This window comes from Homo sapiens, chromosome 2 (assembly GCF_000001405.40).
Source record: "Homo sapiens chromosome 2, GRCh38.p14 Primary Assembly".
NCBI lineage: Eukaryota > Metazoa > Chordata > Mammalia > Primates > Hominidae > Homo > Homo sapiens.
In genome coordinates this window covers 147,897,784-147,921,263 of record NC_000002.12, presented here as the reverse complement: position 1 = coordinate 147,921,263, position 23,480 = coordinate 147,897,784, and the positions used below count along the sequence as shown (strand labels likewise).

Sequence of the window (23,480 nt, the reverse complement as noted above, 5' to 3'; positions counted from 1 at the left end):
CAGGAGCTCGATACAAGCCTGGCCAACTTGGTGAAACCCCATCTCCATTAAAAATACAAACATTAGGCTGGGCATGGTGGTGCATGTGTGTAATCCCAGCTACTCAGGAAGCTGAGCCAGGAGAATCACTTGAACTTGGAAGGCAGAGGCTGCAGTGAGCCAAGATCATGCCACTGCACTCCAGCCTGGGTGACAGAGCGAGACTCTGTCTCAAAAATAAATAAATAAATAAAAATAAAAGGTGATCTTGCAGGAATGAAAACATCTTTTCCAGCCTCAAAGTTTCTGAGAATAAACTGTATGGATAATGTTCTTTTCCCTTTTGGCCTTCCTAGAGGTTCCCATTACTAAGATTTCTGTGCATATGGATATATACAGAGGTGTGAAGAGTTACCTAATTCAGGGGTTTACAAGTGCTCTGAACTCTGGAGAGAATTTGGAGAAAAGCCATCAAGTTGATTAAAGAAATTAATGAAGCAATAAACAACAAGAAGCAATAAACTATTATTGCATGGGAAAATGGACAGGAAATCTTAATACACTGTAGTAAGGACAGTGACTAATTATTCTTCCACTCTTCTTAAGATGGTGAAAGAACTAACAGACTAAAACTACGGAGTTCATACGAAGAATTCCCTAAGAATGAGGTCTGTTAAAAGGTGGTGGATTATTCTTTGATCAATTTTTCAAAAAGAATCCTATGACGTGTGTCTAAGGGTTGCTTTACGAAGTGCTTGATCTAAACCACCTGAGTCCTCTACCATCATATGAAAATGTCTTCCTCAGAAACTTTGATAACTCTATTAGATGCTGATTTAAACACCACAACAATTTTAGACTAATTCAGTCCTGACATGCCATTCTAAGAAAATATGGAACAAGTTTATTTTTTCTTACATTTTATAATCATCATCCTTACCTGTCCATGGGTATCGCCTGCAGACTTGCCAGCCTCAAATTTTAAGGCCAACCCAAAGTCAGCAATGCAAGCTGTCAGGTTGTTTTTCAACAGCACATTTTTACTTTTGATGTCCCTTGCAAATAAAAAGAGTATTCAAATTAAGTTTAAACTAGTTACCTTTTTAAATTTTTTATTGAAAGCAGAAAAGGGGGAATATGTACACTATGAAAAAATAGTTACTTAAAATTATGAAATGCAGAGAAAGTGAGACAAACAAAGCTCAGAGCCCCATGCAGCCTTAAACACAAGAGCACGGTGACAAACCCCTATTCATAACATGGACAATAAGAAGGAATCCTACCTATAAAGCAGTTATATAAAAATCTGCCATACCAAAAAGATATGTTATCTATGTCACCCACCTACCAATCATAAAACTACTGTTAATATCTCAGAGTTCTGATTTGCAAACTCCCATAGAAACAGAAATTTTAAACCAAAATGAAGAAACTTTTAAAAAATAGCTGAATTGGGGCCTTCTGCTTATTGGTAGAGACCTACATTTTAGAATAATCCCTTATTATAGAGGTTCTTATATTCTTCCACCTGGTTGTAGAAAAGCATCTTATGGAATGAATAACAGAAACTTTTTACCATAAACATACACTGCTCTAGCTAGATCCTGGTGTTCTGAAAAGGGTAACAGTTTTAAGGCAGTAAGATATCCTCTTCTACACACCTGTCTCAACTGGCTCATCCTAGAGATTACTATACCCTAGTTAAATACATCTATGCCAATGACTAGTGGTTAAATTTATGTGCAGACATATAGACCAATAATGGGATACTGAAAGCACAAGCAGACACTCCCAAATGCTATAAAAGCTAATCGATCTTAGTTTCAAAAGACTTTCAGGCCCTTAATAACTTTGGGGGTCCTTAAGGATTAATTCCCTATGTGACCAGGTAGGGCAAGGGAAAATCGAAGACGAGGCCAATAGACTGCATGTAAGAAAGTGAGAAGAGTTATTTCTGAGGTAGACGTCATTTAAAGTTTGCAAAATCAGAACCTAAATTAGAGGCTGACTTACAATAATGCCTCCCAGCAACCTAAAACATCGCCTGGTGGCACTCAGCTAAGTATCTGTTCTGTGAATCAGTTAATGCCTACTTTTCAAACAACCATCTTTAAATGGAACACAAGACAACAAATTGAATCCCACGTTCAAGAAAATTAAATACATGGCAAACTGAATTCCATGTTTAAGACACAATCATTTTTCCTTTTGCGGGCATGACAACTGTTGGGTCTAAGTAGTATTTCTTCACTGGACAACTGTTTTAAGTGATGCCTCCCTTTAAGACTTGGCTCAGGGTACAGATAAGGTCATTCAAAAAACAAGCAAGGAAGACATTCAAAGTCTCTCCTTCATTACATGCCCTTGGATAATAATCCCTATTGATAAATCATGTTTTGAGGTAAAACAAATGTCTTTTTCCTTTGAGATCGAGAAAATATAGTTTATTTTCAATCATGCTTTCAGAAATGAGATGAAGTAGATCATTAAACTTTACCAATAATGTTAACATATACATTATCCAAAATACTTCCTGGCCAATCTCAAAGCTAATTTTAAAAAACAAATGAAAACTGACTGTCTTGTAAAGCATGATTGCATAACAAAGGAAAAATTAAAATTTACCCAGGGGCTTAAAAGTTTAGTAAATATATACTCAATTATCTGGGAAAACAATATAAATTTAGTCTACCTGTGAGATATGGCAGGTTTGTGGCCATCTTTTAGGCCAGGTATATCCTCATGTAAATATGCCAATCCTCTAGCCATGGTTTCTGCAATATGACACAGTTCATTCCAAGAGACCACATTAGCCTTAAGAAAGTCTGATAGTGAACCCTAAAAAAAGAGGGAAAAAAAGAAACTTATGTTCTTGACAAAGGCCATATGTATAAGGAGACTTTTCTTTTTACCTATAAGAGGTTGTGAGTTTCCCTTTCAGGGAAAAATAATATCCAAGAAACAATCTTTCTGGAATGGTTCAAATGGTTCAAATTTCCTTCCATTTCACATTAATAAACATTTGACCAGAAGGAAATACCAGAGCTTTAAACTTTTGTTACAAGAATAGTCAACTTCCACCAATCTATAAGACAAGTTTGTTTTTTTTTTTTTTTAAAGACTAGTTGAAAATCTAAGGTTCTAGAAAATATTTTAAAAGTTAAAATATCCTGACTATAGAGTTGTTATATCATGGGACTAGCAGAACACAAAATAACAACATAAAATAACAACTAATATGTAGAATATTCCTCTAGATTATTGTTGTCCTTTAGGTCAAGATAAGAGAAGTAAAAGAACCACTTACATTTCACAATGATGAAACCAATTACCAAAAACATAATTTCCTACTTCATTAATGGTACTTTCACACTGACTCTAAAAGTAGAAAAATTGAGGAAAACTAGCAATTACATTTTGGTGATAATTACCCTGCAAGTTAGTGACAGATCAAAGATCAGATAAATTTCCTGACTCTGGTTTTGTCACAAGCAAGACTGATTAAAACTTAAAAAAATGGTTCACGTAATCAAAATGAATTGTAAATGGTAAATGAAAATTACTAAGCATTACCTACACTAAAATAAATGTTTGTAAGAGTAATTACAGCACAAGAAATAAGGAACAAAAGGGTGGTTTATATGAGTAGAGTTTTAGGTTAAAAAGTTGCCATCTTTGCTCTTTTATTAAAATAAACTACCTTTTAAAACATTTTTATTCAAGAATGATTTTTATTTTCAGGTTAAATATTAATCAACTATAAGATGTCTCGAAAAATAACTCTGAGGGATTTATAGCCAGCATTAGGTAGGCAGGCCAACTCAGACTTTACTAAAGTAAAACGTTAAGTAGTTTTACCTTTTCATGAAATGCTGTGATCAGCCAAAGATCCACATCAACACTGGTGCCTCGTTTTTCTGCACCAATGAACTGTAATATGTTCTCATGCTTCATTCCAGGCAAACTGTAGACTTCGTATTCATTTTGCCATGACTGTTTGTCCTAGAGTCAAAAAGAAAGAATAGTAAGAACACAAGGAATACAGGTTTAATAAACCATGCATAAGAGATTACTCAAATAAGTTCCAAAGTAAAACAAAACAAAACAAAAAAGTCTTAAAAAATTTTTTGTTCTGTTTTGTAATAAGAAAAAGCTCTGACAATAGGTTAACAAATTTATACTAAATGCCTGCCCTTTTCATTCCCTCAAAACGTACTTTTCTGTGTTTCTAGTTTACAAACACAGAAGGTGATCGGAAATGCTGCATTCTGTGTCTTACAATGGCAACACGTAAGTTACTGCAAGTATTACACTGTAATTTCATCATGGTGTGAAGTTACTTGTGGTACTATTCAGAATAATCTCCTTGAAAGATGAAATTCCGGCAGAATGACTTCCTCTAAATAGAAAACTTCTTCTTTTCAAAAACTAACATAATATCAAACATCCTTCAAAAAATGTTTAGCATACCCTACAAGGTCTATGAGAAAGCAAGGGGCAAAGATATGCAATGCAATAATTTAAGACACCATATATTCACTTGTGCCTGCAAGCAATCCATGTCTACTAAGTATCTACTTATAAAAGATTAGCTTCTTTTCACTACTAAAAGACAATAATAGTAAGAGGCACTATGGCATAATGGTTAGAAACCCTTAGAAACTCTCTGCATCCAAACTGTCCAAACTTAAATCCTGGCTCTCCCACTAACCTCTGGCAAGTTACATAATCCTTCAGTGTCCTCATTAAGTAGAAAAGGCATTGTAGTGTCTGTCTTATAGAATTGTTGTATTATATGTTGCATTTTATGTACATGTGGGTAATATACGTACACATATTAGTGAGTACTCATATATGTAAAACACCCCTACCTGACCCAATAAAAGCATACAATAAAATGTTAGCTACTGTTGTTGCTGTTGTCGGGCTTGTTAATATCATCCAAATGCCTTTCTCTGAGCTTTATGCTTCCTTACACATGGAAATAATTTCTTCCCTTATCTTATTTATGAATCTTGGCACAACAGAATACACTTTCTCTCTGAAAACTAAACTGTGGTTTACAGCTACCAAAAAAAAATGTAATACAGTTCATAAACTCTATGTAAACAGTTTATAGACTGAACAGAGGAGGTAAGATTGAACAGAGGAGGTAAAAAGGTTAAAATCTAGGTATATTAAGACAAAGAAACTGCTTATATGATAACTTTGGAAAAAGAAACATCCACTCTCTAAGTATGGTGGTAGAGCCTGCAACACCAAATCCAGCCAAGACGTCAGTACCAAGGGTATCATGAGCTGCCAGGGTATATAAGCAAGAGATGGGGAAGACAGAATCATCATAAATCTATACCACCAACGGAACAAAACAAAACACAAGAATAGCTCAGAGGTACATTAGATCAGAGTTTTATGAGAAGTCCAGCCAACCTTAAAAACAATTCAACAGTAAACCAATTATTTGAAGTCTCGATTGCCTCTGAAAATGCATCAAACAAAAACTGAAATAATTAAACACTCAAAGTAGAATGAAAGTAAGTCAAGTCTGGTGATATACCTCTAAATACCAATTCTAAAACAAAGTATACTGCTCTTTTGTTTTTTTGTTTGCTTTCTCTGACAACGTAGGGGGATATTAAAATTTAACCACTCAATTAGACTTGTTTATTGGAATCTTTATCTTTATTTAACATTTCTATTAGAATTTTCACTGGCAAAAGATCTACTATGCATTCATTTAATTCCACCACTCCAGACAAACATAATGATTGTTATATTAACAATTCCATTTCTCAGATGCAAAGGCAGGCATTAAAAGAGCTAACTGCTTTCCCCAGTATCACAAAGAACCACCTTGGTACATATGGCTTCTGTTTTGAGACTATTTCTGAGTTATGATGACCTAGCCATAAAACATGTATGTAAGATGACAAAACTGCAATAAACATACCTGTATTGGAAATATTTTGACAGCCACATATTCGTTAAGCAACTGGGCTTTCCAGACACAACCAAATCTTCCCCTTGCTTTCACTTCTAATAACTGCAGTGGTTTCAAACCTAGTAATGGAGAAGGTGGGGGTGGTCCTGGGTCCTACAGATAAATAATAATAATACTATAAATAAGCAGAACATGACACACACCAACTCTGAAAATGAGAAAAAAAGTGAGTATACTGAAAAGTCAACTGACAGAAACAGTAAACACATATGAATGACATTAACTTCAATGTTGCCATAATTAGATTACTAATTATCTATAGTGATCACAAGGCAGGCAACCTGAATTCAGAGTTTCATAATAATGTTCAGCATTATTGCTATATATGTACCACAGGAGAGAAGATCTAAAATCTTTCTGATCAGTCTCAGTAATATTCCCCACTAAGATTTTCTGTGAACTACGAAATACTCCTAACAATATTTCATTTGTTTCATCCAGTGTGTACTTCGAGGAGGATGATTTGAAAAGTGCCAGAAACAGCAAATTATGACTATATATCAGCAAAAACCTCTCCTGAAGATCTATTACTTTCTCCAGTGACTGTTTAAATTTTTTCTTCATTAATCTCAGAGATACCGGCAGTCATTCTTAAACACATTGCAGATAGGTATATCAAATACAAAGCACATACAGGAAATATGTAAGTAAATATTTCTTTAACCAAACTGGTTCATTCTAATTTTAAACATATTAACAATTCATCCCTTTGATCTGAGATAAAAAATCATTTGTGTTCTGGAACTGACTGACTGGCAAAGAAGTACGAATAAAAATCCAGAAAAGAAGTGGTCATCATAGTAGATAACAGGATATGGTAAATGAAAGAAACGTGCACTGCTATAGTTTTTTAAAAATAGAGCAAACATAATATATAAATAGGAATACAGCATCTACAAATCACAAGGAAATCCTATCAAAGCAGAATGCAACCCTCCATTGAAAGCATTCTCTCAGTTCCCTATCTGCAACTAAAGCAAGATGCAGGAAGCCTTTTGGAAAGCTTCCAGAGAAAAGCAACAGAAGGGTTTGGAGGGCTGCATAATGAGTATTTTGAGGAGGAACTAAAATTTCTGTGGCAAAAGCAACTGATATGATGACACTGGGTGGCACCTCAGACACTTGGAAATGGTATGTGATCCCAGATCAATGCATCCTCTCTGCCTTTCTTTTTCTCTCTTCTTCTAATGCCTCAAAGACAGTTAGTGCTTTCTTTAGGCATCACTCAGCTCACTGGTGCCACTCAGGAGTTTTAAAAGTTTACTGTGTACTAGAAAGAACCTCAGCAACAGAAACATTGCAAGGTGTTATGTAGGAAAAACATGCAATTTCTTCTTCTAAATGAAACCATCTTTATAAAATGGCTTTAGAATTCCTGTTTAAACAGTAAGATAAAACAAAAGACTTCTTGTGACTCATTTCAAACTCAGACTTTTTTTTTTTTTTTTTTTTTTTTTTTTTGTCTACAAGTTGCTTGTCCTTCCCACATTCAAAACATGAAAGAACGTTTCTGTTTAGCAGAGTGACGGGTCAAGGAGGTCAGATATAAATCTTATAGGAAGGATGGGCTCTCAAGTGTGATTCTCAGTGGAGGGGACACAAGAACCTCTAGAGAGTTTTTATTAAAAACTACACCCTCCCTCCCTCATTCTTCAAGTGATCACCTCTATCCGAGAAATTCTACTGATCAGAGCAGACTGCTTATATGAATGTGGAGACAAGAGAAAAAAAGCTTGAAAACAACTCTTCTACAGGAAAGGAAACCATTCAGTCCTCAAGGGCAAAGAGTTATTGTATAACTGCATAAAGACATATTTAAACTAAATAGAAAATGTTAGAAAGGTAGAGAGATAGGTTTCAAACCAGAGGGGATGCCAAAAACTAAAAACTAAAGTATACAGAAAATGGCTGAAAGCTGAAGAGGAAAAATAACTAGGTAGAGGGAATACAGTGCTAAATTACAATATTAAGATTTTTAATAGCTTTTATGTACACTGGTAATGTCTCTATAGTTAATCTACACATTACCCATTCTCTGTTCTAAAGGACATCAACAACATGAATATGATTCAGTCTGTAAGATATAGATTATTTAATCCACAATTAATATGTCAGCAATTCAAACTATGATTTTAGTATAACATTAATTTTAGAAAAAATAATTTTTAATATCTACATTAAAAAAAAAAGTTCATTAAATGTTTTCCAAATGCATATACTTCAAGTTCCCATACATTCCCAAGGCTCTGTTTAACAAGTTTCTAAGCTATCATTATTTCAGAAAGAAATAATCTTAGATCACCCTCCTACTATAATTTATTCAATATTGTATAGTAACAGCCAGAACAAATATTGTTGTCAAAATTACTTAAAAGGTAAAAGCTTCAATTAGAAAGAATACTGGTCAATTTCGAAAGGGTGACAAAAAGGTCTACAAGGTCTTCCTGTAGAATCTCAAAACCTTTAGCAATGACATGAGCTTTTCAAAAATGGAATTTTAAATAATATTCTTTAATACACAAAGGATTGGGTTCAAAAATGATAACTGTAGGACAGATTATAAAATCTCTAATCCTTTTTAAATAAAAAATTACTAGAATGAAACTTTAAATTCATCTGTAAGTTTCACTCATCCTATAATAGTAGAAATGATTTTCAATTAATTGGCATCATTATAGTAATTTATTCACAAAAAAATCAATACTTGATTCTAAAAATAAAAATGTATACCTTTAAAATATATGAGCCCCTGGGAAGACAAATGTAGACATAAATTTCAAAATGACAAGCAATTTCTGATGTCATACACAAAATATGGCTTTACCTGGCTACATAGAGAAACCAATGGGGAGCTGAGAGGCACCTAGAAGGATTTCAGAATTCCTAAAAACTTCCCTAAATTTCCAGTTCTCTTACAACATCCATGCTATTTTGCAAAACTAAAAAGATATGCATTCAAACACAGTTCTGATTACATTTCTTCTTTACTCATTTATATGTAAAAATTATGGTATCAGAAGACATCAGCTTCAGAACACATACTGAAATGATAACCTGGTAAAAAGTAATCTCCTGCCCCCAAACCACTACCCAATATCATTACTATAACCAACAGTGGAATAAATTATTAGAGGTGGGAAGCTACAAAGTCATCTCTGATCATTTTACTTATTCTGAGTTCTCCATTTGAAGGGTGAATTTTAATCTAATTAAACGCTTAAACCTCAGATAGCAAAATATCATCAAAAGTTATACTCCTGTAGCTAGTTCATTTGCTAAAGATGCCAAAGATGAAGCTATCTAAAAATATCTATTTCACATTTAAATACAATGGGCTGGATTAGAAAATCGACCCCTGTTAAAAATGAACACATGCTGACATTTAAGCTAATGACATATAAAAATTAACCAATACAAGGTTTTTGAGGCGAATGGAGCCGTTAAGGTGTTAACTTCTAATCAAGTAAAACGGTTTTTTCTACATCCTACCTTAAATAAATATAAATACTCTCAGTCTCTTAAAACTAAAAGCCATTCCTAAGTCAAATCAATCACATTTTAATTATAAAAGCTGGGTGAGGGAGAACCCTTTATGACATAAATATATAAATTATAGAGGATGCACAGTAAAGCAGTAACAACAACAAAAATCTAAGAACAAAATGTTTAGTATGCATCCACAGAAAGTTCCACAACCATAAAACAAACATCAATGCATCTTACCTCTATCATTATATGAAAGGCGTGCTTGTGAAGAAAAAACACAGGCAAAAGAAATTACGATTCATATCCAGAATGAAATGAAAAATGACACATCAGTTACAAAAGTGAAGGAAAGAGAATAATGGTTTAGTATTTTAAAAGTTGGCAATGATCCAAAGTTTTACATTGTTTAAATAAAGATAGGGAACACTTTCCTTACAAACAGAGGAAAGTAATATCAAAAAGAACCCCTTAGATATGAGAGATAGGTGGTAAACAAATTCTTGACTCCAGTTTAATCCCAAGTTAACTGATCCAATGACTTCATGCCTGCAAACAAACTAAATCAAGTCTTAAATAATGATTATTTATTTTTCTAAGAGCCTCTAGAGTCTAAATTATAAAACAAGGAATTTACAAATTGGAATTGCCTTCTCGACACTAGAGGGCAGTATTGCCTTTAGCAAAAACGAGCTAGCAGCCCTAACAAATTTATATATAGCTAGAAATCAGTTTCTCAGACTTTCTGATAGTTGTCTTAAGAACCTCTAGAATTTCCTATTTCCTGAACTGCCTCACTTCCCTTTCATGGAAGACAGAATCATAATGGTGAGACAGAAAAATGTTTCTGGTGGCTATGTGCGTGCACCATAATACACCATGGCAAGAAACTAAGACAGGAAAACAAGATCATCAGAATTAAGTAAAACATAGTGACAGAATATTATCAAACCTACTTGCCCAGCACATCAAGGTGAAGCAGTTAAGCAGAGGTGGCCCTGGGAACAAGTAATCACACATCTCACATTCTAAAGACACTCAGACACTGATAGAGAACAGGATTTTCATTTTTCCAGTCATCCCAAAATAGGTAAGGGTCTAAATTTAAAATTAAAAGAAATATGATCACCAGTGGTAGGGAAGGCTGAGAATTCCTCCAATGGATGATGGCTATGTTCCCCAGTTTCCAATATTTCTATAGAGAACAATAGCACTGACAAAACAGAATGGACAACTCATTTATCTGTACCAGTTGCTTAACTAGTTTTCTTCCTTCTAGATTTTCTTCCTGTGATAATGATTCAAGAGTATTTATAATTCATCCAAAAGGCTGAGATAATCCTACTATCAAAACATCTTATCCAGTACTCCAGAGTAAAATTAATCCCTTGAAAGAAATACATGCCAACTGAATAAGTAGACTATGGTTTCCAAAGGCTCAAGGATCTCTCAGATCTTGTTTAAATACAGGTGTTTTCAGAGATAAAGATGACACTATAAAGATGACACTATACTAGCACTGTGCAAGTAGGTGCTATCCATACATCTTACCAAAAAGTATGTCTCTGCCCAATACATTTCCCAAGAAATGAACATTAGGATAAGCTATAAAATAACCCAAACTGACACCAAGAACAAGCCTCAAAATATCAACTATGCAACAAAATATGAAGGGTAAAAACGGAACAAAAAAATACATTCACTTAAGTACATGAATAAATACAAAATAACCACATATGTTTGCTTAATACACTTCTCAATAAATGAGGATTAGAATAAACAAACAAGAGACACCAGCAACAGTCCTCAATGTATAAACTACATGACAAAATAAGAGCGGTAAAGCAAAATTTTTTTAAAGGCCAGGTGTGATAGCTCATACCTATAATCTCTGCATTTTGGGAGGCCAAGGCAGGAGGATCTTTGAGCTCAGGAGTTCGAGACCAGCCTAGGCAACACAGGGAGATCCCTTCTCTACAAAAAAATTTTTTAAAAATTAGCTGGGCGTGGTTGCATATGCCTGTGGTCCCAGCTACTCGGATGTCTGAGGAGGGAAGACATCTTGAGCCTGGGAGATTGAGGCTGCAGTGGGCTGTGATCATGCCACTGCATTCCCGCCTGGGTGACAGAGTGATACCTCATCTCCAAAAATAAAAATAAAGCAAAATAAAATGCACTAAAATATACAACTAAGCAAAAAGCAAACAAAACTCTGGATTCACAACATAGAAAATGTAGCTTGACTATTATATACTATAACTGTAGGTAACGGTGAAAATCGAATCTGCACATTAATATCAAGCTATTAGGTTTGTAGGTGAGAAAAAGATTTGTTGCTTCTCCCTGAGGTGGAAAAAAAACTACTGCCAAATATCAGAAAAGAATGAAGAATAGTTCATTCATTCATTCATTCATTCATCCAACAAATTTTACTGAGTAACTAGTCTGTGCCAGGCACTGACTAGCCAGGCTCTCATGAAGCTTGCAGCAGTGCAGGACAGAAGGACTAATCAACAATTCACACTAATAAAAAGGAATTCAGTACCTTCAACATCTGTAAAGAGAAACCTGACTTATAATGACAGGTAAAGTCTGAGAAGATTTCCCTGTGGAGAACACCCTTGAAAAATGGAGTAAGTACTAGGGAGAAGCAGTTAAGGTGAAAAACAGAGTTGAGACATCCTAGTTTCCTGGCTTATGCAACCAAATGGACAGTGGTTCCATTTACTGAGAACCAGGTTTGTGAGAGACAATCACTACCTGTGAATGGTAAGTGCTTGGAGACATATAAATGGAGATATTTAGTAAACACATACACAGATCTGGAATACAAAAAATCTTTCCAGAAAATAGAGATTTTTGTTTATATACTATAAATATGTATATATGATATGTGTTATAAGATTTCTTTTATTTACTATTCAAACCATTCCAAGAAATATCTGTATCTCTGTATCTAGAGAGAGAGAGACTGATTTTTTTCTGGGAGTGGAGATACCTCACTCAACAACTTTTTAGGACTACCAAGACGAATTAAGGTCCTCCTATCCAAACTATATGAAAACTGACAAATTCTGAATTTGTTTCCTCTTAATATCAACTAATTATTTTACATTCTAAGAAATTTTACCATTTTAAATTTTAAAAAGACTATCCTGCCAAGCAGAATAGAAACAGAATTTATAAATAATACAGTATATGCGAGGACAATGTTTCTGAACTAAGGAAAGCAAGACATACATTAAGAGATTCAACAGTATTGACATGTCAATTGCACAGCAATGATTCCAGCCAATTAGATCGTCAAAATTCCTCTGTGATAATTCCTACTTCCTACAGTTTCTCTCATCTTACTCCTCTTGAAAGGAAAGCAAAGAAAGGCCAAGGCAGGTGAAATGAAGATTCTGGATATGTTCCCTAAGAAGTAGAGCACCTCAAGGTAGCCAGCACTGGAGTTAAAAGTCTGAAAAAAACGTAGGTATGCCCATTCTCTTTTTGGGGTTGATGCTTAAAAGAATCAGGTTTTATGACTGGCTACAGAAGTTTATTTTGATTTATTTTCATATCTGTATTCTGCAAGTGTAGCTGAAAAAACCAGAAAATAAACCATGTTACACATGAATAAATTGTGAGATGGTAAAATGGTTATCTACAAGGCCACATATAGTCACTATGAAAACTATTTTAAATGTAGTTTATATACTTTGATCTCTTTATCCTACTTTGCTTTTTTTTTCTTTTTTTTCTTTTTTTTTTTTTTTTGAAACAGAGTCTTGCTCTGTCACCCAGGCTAGAGTGCAGTAGCATGGTCTCGGCTCACTGCAAGCTCCGCCTCCCAGGTTCAAGCAATTCTCCCACCTCAGCCTCCGAAGTAGCTGGGATTACAGGTGTGCACCACCATGCCTGGCTAATTTTTGTATTTTTAGTAGAGATGGGGTTTCCCCATGTTGTTTTCCCATGTTGGCCAGGCTGGTCTCAAACTCCTGACCTCAGGTGATCCACCCACCTCGGCCTCCTAAAGTGCTGGGATTACAGGTCTGAGCCACCACACCCAGCCCCTGCTTTGGTTTTTTTATGGACTCCACTTAATTATTTACTGAAATAAGCCATTCAATCAATGGGCAATAATCCTTGGATATAAATGCCCAGGCTTTGCCACCCACTAGGGTGACTCTAAGCCAAGTCACTTCATCTATGAATGCCTCAATTTTCTTATCTATAAAACGGACTTCAAAACTACAATGAGATAGCATCTCACAACAGTCAGAATGGCTGATTATTAAAAAGTCAAGAAACAACAGGTGCTGGCGAGGCTGTGGAGAAATGGGAACACTTTCACATTGTTGGTGGGAATGTAAATTAGTTCAACCATAGTAGAAGACAGTGTGGTGATTCCTCAAGGATCTAGAACCAGAAATACCATTTGACCCAGCAATCCCATTACTGGGTATATACCCAAAGGAATATAAATCATTCTATTATAAAGACACATGCACACGTATATTTACTGCAGCACTATTCACAACAGCAAAGACATGGAACCAACCCAAATGCCCATCAATGATAGACTGGATAAAGAAAATGTGGTACATGTATACCATGGAATACTATGCAGCCATAAAAAGGAATGAGATCATGTCCTTTGCAGGGACATGGATGAAGCTGGAAGCCATAATCCTCAGCAAACTAACCCAGGAACAGAAACCCAAACACCACATGTTCTCACTCATAAGTGGGAGTAGAACAATGAGAACACATGGACACAGGGAGGTGAACAACGTACACTGGGGCCTGTCAAGGGGCAGGGGAACAAGGGAAGGGGAGCATCAGGACAAATAGTTAATGCATGTGGGGCTTAAAACCTAGCTGACGGGTTGATAGGTGCAGCATACCACCATGGCACAGATATACCTATGTAACAAACCTGCATGTTCTGCACATGTATCCCAGAATTTAAAGTTAAAAAAAAAAAAAAAAAAAAATGGACTTGATAAACAGGACAGAACCCCATGGTACTAACAAATTAAATGAGTTAATATGTGTAAAGTGATCTGTATAGTGCCTGATATAATACTCAAAATGAATCTTTTATTACACCAAGTTAATTTCAAAGTATTAACATATATCAACAATAATTTCAGTAAAAATGATTCTGTTTGAGTTCAATTTTGAAGCTGTTACTCTAACACCAATAACAGTGAATACTTACTGAGCACTTAGCATTAGCTAGGCACCCACATGTGGCTCCTCTCCCAATCAGTACAGATCTGGAAATAGACATTTTTCCTCCCTTCCTCCAGTCTTTGCCTAAAATTGTTGAAGCAACTCACTTCTTACACTCTTTACCCTTCATTTCCAGGCTACAGTCAAACAATCATCCTGTGTTACTTCACCTACATATTAACTGTAGGCCCCAGAAGGTGAAGCAAGTACTGTCCTCGTGCCACTTTTACCATACACACAGCATGGTGCCTGGCACACCATAGGCAATCAAGCATTGAGTGAGCGGTTAAGCAAAAATGAAAACCCTGAACAATTCCTAGCTCATGTGCTACAAGCAGCTTTAGCTAACAATGGGACGTTTTTCATTTCTATTATCTTAATTTAAAAAAAAAAGATTTGACAGCAATGAAGTAACTAGGAATGAAAGAACAAGGTCTAGGATGAGGTCCAGGAAATGAAGAACACAGGAAAAAAACAAACTCACTTCCTCCTAAATACACATCTCCTTGCCAGAGAAGGAGGATAAATTATATAGTCTGGTCCATATGCACCAATCAACTGACAGACGAGACCCTGTACAAGCCAAAGAAAACCTGAACTCAAGATTTCAAAATTTAAACAGAAGTCACTTTTAGAAATAAGGTGCACTAATTAATTTTAATGTGCAACTTTACCTTATTTTAAGCTATTGATAAAGGTTTAAATTTTCTACTTTCTCCCCTTCCTCCCTTTTTGCTTTTGGACACAGAATTTTAGACAATCTCCAACTGGCCTTGTCTGAGCATTTGTAAGTGGAATAAATTATATATGCCTGATGAGAGTAATTTTTTTTGTCAACCTGCATGTCGAGATAACTTATGACACTTCTCCCCACAATTAGAAGTATATATTTAAAGTAAGTTGTAATTTAGGTTACCAATACAAAAATAATCACACACCAAGGTAGGACACAGAACAACATCTATAGTAGCCCTATACTATTTCTTAGACATACACATACACACACCCACACACACACACAAAAGAATGCTCACGCCTAAGACAACAGCATTATGTCATATTTCAAACATACTAAAACAATACAGTTGCAAATATTTGTGAGATGTGAGTTCTGTCTTTGCAGAAACCTAATACAAACTCTAAGCTTAAAAAAAAAATCACATTGTACACCTTAAATATACAAAATTTTTACCAAAAAATCAAATTTTGCTATTTCATAAGCATACAATAAAACTCTATTACATTTCACTTAAAAACACATAATAAAACAAAAGATTAAAAATATCAATCTGAAAAGCTGTCCATATACTGTTAAATTAAAATAAGCCAGTTGTGGAATAGTTTATAGTTTATAAAAAAGAAAACATATATACTCAAAAAAATAAGGCTAAAGAAAGGTGCCAAGGGATACACACCAATCTGTTAAAATTGATTATTTCAGGAAAGTGACAGAGAAAGGGAAAAGAGGAGAAAATGATTCTATTTTTTCATACGTCTTTCTGTACAGTTTGTCTTGATACCACAAGCATGTATTTATAATTAACTTTTTAATTAGAAGAGAATTTTAAATGAAGAGAGAAAAAGCAGAAGAGAAAGAGATGTGTTCATAAACTCCAATCAGTAGTCAACCTATTTCAAGACATGTTTCTATGAATGTAATATTTTGTAAGTATAACTTGTTATTAGCATATTAAATACTCAATAAATTTAGTAAATTTCTCCTGCACCCTCCCCCAGTAAGGAAGCAGTATACTCTTCTAAATTAACTTGGCTGAAAACTGTTTTCCTACCCTTTCAGATTCTTATTAATTTTAAATACATAAACTCATGTTCAAGAAGAAAATCCTACAAAGCATTTTCACAGATGGCTTGGTTTCTCAGTGAATAGCACTCTGACATAGCATGAAATGACAACCTATTATCACTTTAATGCTAAGGTCAAAAGGATTATTTTGTATGCCTAATTTAGGTATCCCAAAGCTTTAGTCCTTATCAGACCCACACCTAGACAAACTATCATAAAGATTGAACAGGCTGATGTTATTTAAGAAAGAATTAATTTTCAATACTGAAGTGCTACTTATATAGCCTTTAAAAGTAAACAAGAAGCTAACTTCGTGCCTTGTTAAAGGTAGGTCATTTCTAACCCTTAAAATTCAATTTCTTATCAAGTGGTATTTTATCAGCACAAATATAGATCTTATAAGCAGGAAACAAGCTCACATATGGTTATGAAAGCGGCGCCATTTTACTGAAACTGCATTAACTCTAACCACAATAAGACTTCTTAATAATAGAGTCCATCAATTCCCTCATATTCATGACTCACTGTCACTAGAAAAACCAGTTTGCATTCGGTTTACTCAATGCATATTATAAAAGCATCTTCCTATATGTGGGAAGATAGTTTCAGCACAGGCAAAAGAAAAGTGAGCTGGGTAACGAAAACAGATAGGATGCTTCAGTCTGTGATTACAGAAAGAACTGAATAATGTCATTCTCTTATAAATGCCTGAAATACTTCAACTTATTTTACAGCCCCCCACAAAATCATGGCCTCAAGATTTCTCTCAACGCAAAGCCCTAAAGCACCTGAATGTTTATTAAAGGAATCCCTGGACATACTTCATTATCATCTCAGTATAATTCCAAATGCAACAAACTCAATTTAGCAATTCAGCACTTACTGAATGATTATTCCATACAAATACTGTGTAAGACACAGCAGTAATTACAATACATATCTCATCTTCAAGAGGCTTACAATCTAGTGGGAGAATAAAACACATTATGAGCCCTTCTCAACTGGGGTTATTTATATGAATGACAAATGAAAGAATGACCCAAGCACTATTTTCTCAAATCTTTCAAGGAGGATTACAACTAATACAATGTTAGATGCATATGACAGATGTTTTGGGGTGTAATGGGAAGAAAGTACCAAAAGACAAAGAGAGTATGGAAGACCACATGTCATGCTCCAACTTTGTATTCTTTGCTGTGGCTCACTGAGAGCCCACACATATTTTAAGCACATAAGTAACATAATCAAACATGTAAAATGCTATTCTGGCAATAGTACAGATGAAGGGAGAGAAATGGACGCAAGAAGGCCAACTTTGAGATTATAGAAATAATCTTAGCCTTAGGAGTAATAATGTCCTGAACTACAATAGGATCAATCAGGATGAAAAGGTGAATGAACAGGACTTGGTAAATGACAGAGCCAAGAATAGTTGTCTCCAAGGCTTTCATCCAGGATGAATAAGAATAAAGTGATACCATGAAACAATGACAGAAATATAGGACTTATGAAAAAAAAAAAACGACCAGAAAACTGCTTTTTTCTATGCCTTCGACTGTGCTAAATTTATTCTAGAATTTGTATTTGTATTGGTTACTAGGAACCATAATGAAAGACCAGATTTTAAAGTACTTATACCCCTACATCACTTCTTCAGAACAAAATACTAACACAACCAGGAAAAATTCTAAACAATTTGATGTCATAAAGAATCCCTCACCTAACTGCCAGAACCAGCTTACTAATAATGAGAACAATGTCTTACAACAGACCAGTTCATTCACAAACCATCCTTTAGCCAAAGCTTTGAGAAAAAGTCTCCCTAAGAAAAAGAATGACAAATGTTATGGCACTGTCTAAAAGCACTTAAAGAATCCAGAGGAAGAATGTTCCAAAAATCCGCAGCAAGACTGTAAGATCTTTTCCTAACTGATGTAAAGTTGAAATATGGGGACGTGAATATGGGGTGAAATACAGAAGTCACTTTAAGACTTCAAATATCTCTCTCCTACTTCTCCTACCCTTCGAAAAAGTCTTAATAGGAATTGGCAGTATCAACTCAAGCACAGATATTTTTATCTACAGCCCAATCACATGTTTATAAACCCTATTCTAAAAAGGGTCATCAACCCTATTCCAAAATGTACTTTAGAATTTTTGGAAATTTTTAATGGAAAACACATGAATATGCCCTTCTATGTATCTATGACTTCTTTACTTCTCTTTTTGTCCTATGTGAGACAATGTTTACATAAGATGATGTTATTCCTCATTTTAGTAGTCATACAAATTATTCAATATCCAAAAGGAAAATAAATTAGCCTACAGGATGATTTTGAGATGGCAGAAAAGTTTACTGAATTATATGAAACAAAAGGCATGTGCTTTATGAAAAAAGAGGCAGAACAGCGTAAGTAATAAGAACAAAGCTTTAGTGTCAAAGAGTCCTTGGGTCAGATTTTTCTATCTATAAAATGGAGATTTTACTACATAAACAACTCTGTGAGATGAAAGTAAATTAGTATTTTCCATACCTGGCTGGTCACCAGAATCGCCTGGGAAGCTTATTAAAAACATAACATCCCATGCCCCATTCCATACTTTCAGGAGTGTGGTCCCAAAATTTGTATTTTTTAACAAATTCCAAAGATGATAATCAGTCTCACAACTTGGAAATCATTGAAAAAAAATATTTTATGCTTTTTATATGTTCCCATATAATTTATATCTTTATGTATAATATAACTTAACAGTGCCCTAGTACACTGTAAAATGCTCAATAAATGCTTGATGTAATTATCATTATTTTGAAATAGAAGATAAAACTAAGCCTTTTGTTACATGATGGCCACGAAGTGGTCTTGCAGAACAGTTTGCATAAACCTCTCAGCAAAAACAAGATTTGAAGCACGAAACCATACTGCTTCAGAGACTGCAAAAGATGACAAAAGTGAAGTTCCACACTGATGACAATGCCCCTTTTCCACAACATAGTTTATGACAGAAGGAAAGCATAAAGTCAGGCCTGTCTTGTATTTTTCATACCAAAGCTTGACCACACCAGGTGACTTTATCACAAAATCTTTACATTTCTTCCTTATTTTTCAGAAATTCATACAAATTCATATAAACTCATGACAGAGCATGTAAGTACTAAATAAATGTGTACAGTAACTTTAACCATAACAAATATCTAAAACCCACAGAGATGTACGGATACTCACAGAAAATCCCTGGTTCTTATTTATGCATAACATCAATCCTTTTTAAAAGTCCAAACCCTTAAATTATTTAGTCTTTCTTAAAAAACTGACCACATACATAGGATATAAAGCCCTTTAAGAAAAGCTTTAAGCACATTTTTGTAACAATACTGTATACAGATCAGTGTTATCTATAAGATTACATTTTAAAACTCCTCCTATAAAAACCTTAACAAATTTATTTATAAATGTGGTTCCCAGCTTGTTCCTAGCATATCACAGATCTGGTAAACTGAGGAAACTATTATAATACTGAATACTCTCTCTTCTAAATTTTGATACTAAAACAAATTTTTTAAAAGTTATCACTGACAGAAGGTAAAGTGTATCCTATGGCCATTTGGAGTAAACTACATAGACTAGGTACTAAAACTTTTTATTTTAAAACACTTTTTAGAAATGATTCTTAATGAACACAAACTTAGCTACTACTGTTTAAAAGTTAAAATACTCAAGGTGTACAAAATAATGTTTACCTAATTACCGAACATGGTATTTTACCTTTGGGTTTATTTCTCTATATACACATCTTACAAGGATTATGGGAATCCATGATCTAATGCTAACAGATTGCTGCAAGCGCTGAGAAATAAATGTGTTATATAAATAAAGCTTAGAGGGAAGGAGTTGTTTTGGTCATTAAATTATAGGACTTTGCCATTTTTTTCTATCAAGTTTTAACCATTAATCCTTCTGGTATTAAAGAAGCAAAGTTACACCAAGAGATTCAGAAGGCTGAGGTAATGTGATCTTAAGAGTTAAAAGAAACACAGTAAAAACTACAATTCAGAGATGTCTCAAGCAAGTAAAACCAAAAGTTATCAGTTTTCGTAGACCTGTAGAATACTAACTACTTCCATGAAAAGTCCTTATAAATACCAGACCTGCACAAAGTGTCTACATGATAAGAGAATGTAGAAAATTTAATGAATTTAATCTGATTACTCTCCACACCTATATTTCCAGAAATATTTGGGGTGTGATGTGTGACAATCAAGAGCCTTAAAAGAAGTGTTTAGTCTTCAGTACACACTTGATATGAGGCAACCAAAAAAAATACTTGATCTACCAACAACATATGGTAAGAAAGGTTACTTTTCTGCTCCTCTTCCCTACAAAAACATCTTTATGGAGGTATCTTCCTGAAGGCTTTATGAAACCTCTCTTTTCTATACTTTTTTGGTTACTTTCCTAAGTCTATCCCCATGGATAAAATGTTTTGCCAAGTGGTCTTGAAAAAGGCACAGAAATCTAGAAATGGAGGAGGGGACAGAGGGCAAAGACAGGGTTATGATTTCACTTCTCCATCATAAATGACTTCTCAAGAAGCAAAGCAGGTTAGTGTTAGCATGAGAGTAAAACTCTCCAAAGAGGAATAGAAATGGGAATATCCCTTCATTCTACTCGACCTCAACCCTAAAGTGAGAAAAGTTAAGGACACGGTAGGTACATTAATAAGTTTGCAAAGTTAGCTAGAGTTCTCATGACAATAAACATTCAAAAATTAACTCCAAAGGAAAATAATCTGTAATAAGTTAGTGGGTTTCACCACAGTAATATTTCTCAAAAATATACAATTTAAAACACTACAAAGTACAGGACAATAACTTACTTGAGTTGGAACAAGTACAGGAGGGTAGGCCATCTTGTGATGCCTGTACACCCAAAATGCACAAATGACAATCCCCGCAATTAACATAAGTGGCACCAAGGAATAGAGCAGGATGTTGTAATAGGGTGGCTTAGGTGTAACTGGATTTGAAGTGGCTGTGGAAAAGGGGGGGAAAAATAACTCAGATTTGGTCTACAAAATTCTATAATAAATATCTGTCATAGTCTCAAATTTTGGGGAAGAGGTAGGGGCAAATTATTCCATCAACACAAATATATTTTGTTTCCAATCTACAGTTGAGCAAACCTACGTATTTTCCCTGTGAACTTACGCTGTGTGACTTCCATCTCCGGAAAATAAGAAAACTTTTCATTACACATATTGCCCTCACAGCAACAAAAATATACTTCAGGGCTGTCTTTTTTTTCTACACAATCAGTCCTATAAATAAGCAGAGAAAAAATAATTAAAATCAATATTATTATACTGACCCTACAACAAGTGTTTTTATTCTGCAATAAAATAATAAATTAGTCATTTATATTCAACTTCAAGATTCGTATTTATATCTAATAATTCTTAAAAACCAAAAATGTTCCTGGATTCCTGTTACTAAATCTCTTAAGAAAAAAAAATTAACAACTGATTTTATAACAATCACACTGACTACTAGAGACTATTGCTGTAATTTGGTTTTTAATGAGCAACCTAAGGCAAGCATCTTTTTTTATTTTTTTAATTATTAGAAAAGCTTGAAGAGGACATAAAGTCAATGAGGCAATTTGGTCAAAGAGTGCTTTTGCTCACAGGAAATATGGCATTTCCATTCTGTGAATACAAAAACTGAAAACTATATATAAAACTGTGTATGTGTGTGTATGTATACATATAAATACATACACACATGCTAAGTGATAAAAGCTCGTATCTCATGGGTGAAACATTTCAACATCAGAAACCCAAACTAGGCTGAGAAATTAATACTGTCACTGTTTTTTAGAGTGTAGATTTAAATTCCCTGAATGCAATGAACAGGGTTGAGATGAGCAGCAATAAGTAGAAAACAAACACGTAAACAATAATCACATAGCACCTACTAACTCAAACGGATTAGAATTAAACCAAAAAAATAAAAATAAAGTAGCCTTTTATATAGGACCTTAAGTCATGAAAAGACCTGGATTTAGCCTCTAGAACAAATCCTAATCAGCCACTAATAAACAGCTAAAACTATTAAAAAAAATCAACATCAGATGAACTTAAAAGATGTATCTTAATAACAAACTGAACTTTTTTGATAGTTGTCAGAATAATAAGGTAGAATTTAATTCTTAAGTGAAAAGCTGAAGAAATTTCAGGGAGATAGGAGTTTTAACAAAATCAAACTAAAATATACTCAACATCAACATCTATTTGGCAGGAGGTTTTTAAAGATAAATGAAAGCTAAATTTTAACAATTTATAAAGAGAAATATATAAATTTAAAAACATATTTAAAATCATGTCTCAAATTACAACAGATTAACATGATTACTTAGCCTAATTAATTCAATAAAGTTACTTTTCACCATTCAATTTCATTCTTCTTTTATCATTTTCTTTTCTTCCACACTTTGACAATTCTTGAATCTTCTTTTCCTCTTACTTCTCTTACTATCCTATTTGTTTTCAATCAAATTTAGAGTATAAAAACAAAATTTTATAGTTTAAAATTAGCATTTAACCTCCAGACACAAAGATGGTATAGTAATTACCATTCTAAGAGCAAGTATTTGCAATGAATAACACACTTGCAGACTCCAGTGAAAATGGCTCACTACTCTTTTTGGCACTATCCGAGTCTCACATAGCTGGAGTATTGTCTTTAGGTAAAGAGCAAAGTAGTTTTCTACTACAAAAAAGAATAGGAATCCCTGATTCCAACTAAATGATAAAAGATAGTTTGGGATAAAGATGATTCCCAAACTCATTTTTCCCCAATTTCTTCCTGTGTACCTTTCGTAACAGCACATATCACTTGACCACTTCTGTTAGCAGAGGCTGATAATCAGAAATGCAGCTAAAATATATAAGTACATAGAAATAATCCCTGGAAAATTCACATACTTAGAAGTA

General features: G+C 34.2%; 1 protein-coding gene across 4 annotated transcripts in view; it reads right to left on the bottom strand.

Moving 5' to 3' along the window:
* Positions 1-23,480, bottom strand: part of ACVR2A (activin A receptor type 2A) — an 86,306-nt gene that overhangs the window by 9,559 nt on the left and 53,267 nt on the right. For all 4 annotated transcript variants that reach the window (NM_001278579.2, XM_047446292.1, NM_001278580.2 and 1 more), the window contains 6 exons: positions 21,697-21,806; positions 21,366-21,520; positions 5,930-6,073; positions 3,838-3,981; positions 2,672-2,817; positions 920-1,034 (listed from right to left, as the gene is read on the bottom strand). In NM_001278579.2, the coding sequence (NP_001265508.1) occupies positions 920-1,034; positions 2,672-2,817; positions 3,838-3,981; positions 5,930-6,073; positions 21,366-21,520; positions 21,697-21,806 (814 nt within the window). The remainder of the gene's footprint in view (positions 1-919; positions 1,035-2,671; positions 2,818-3,837; positions 3,982-5,929; positions 6,074-21,365; positions 21,521-21,696; positions 21,807-23,480) is intronic.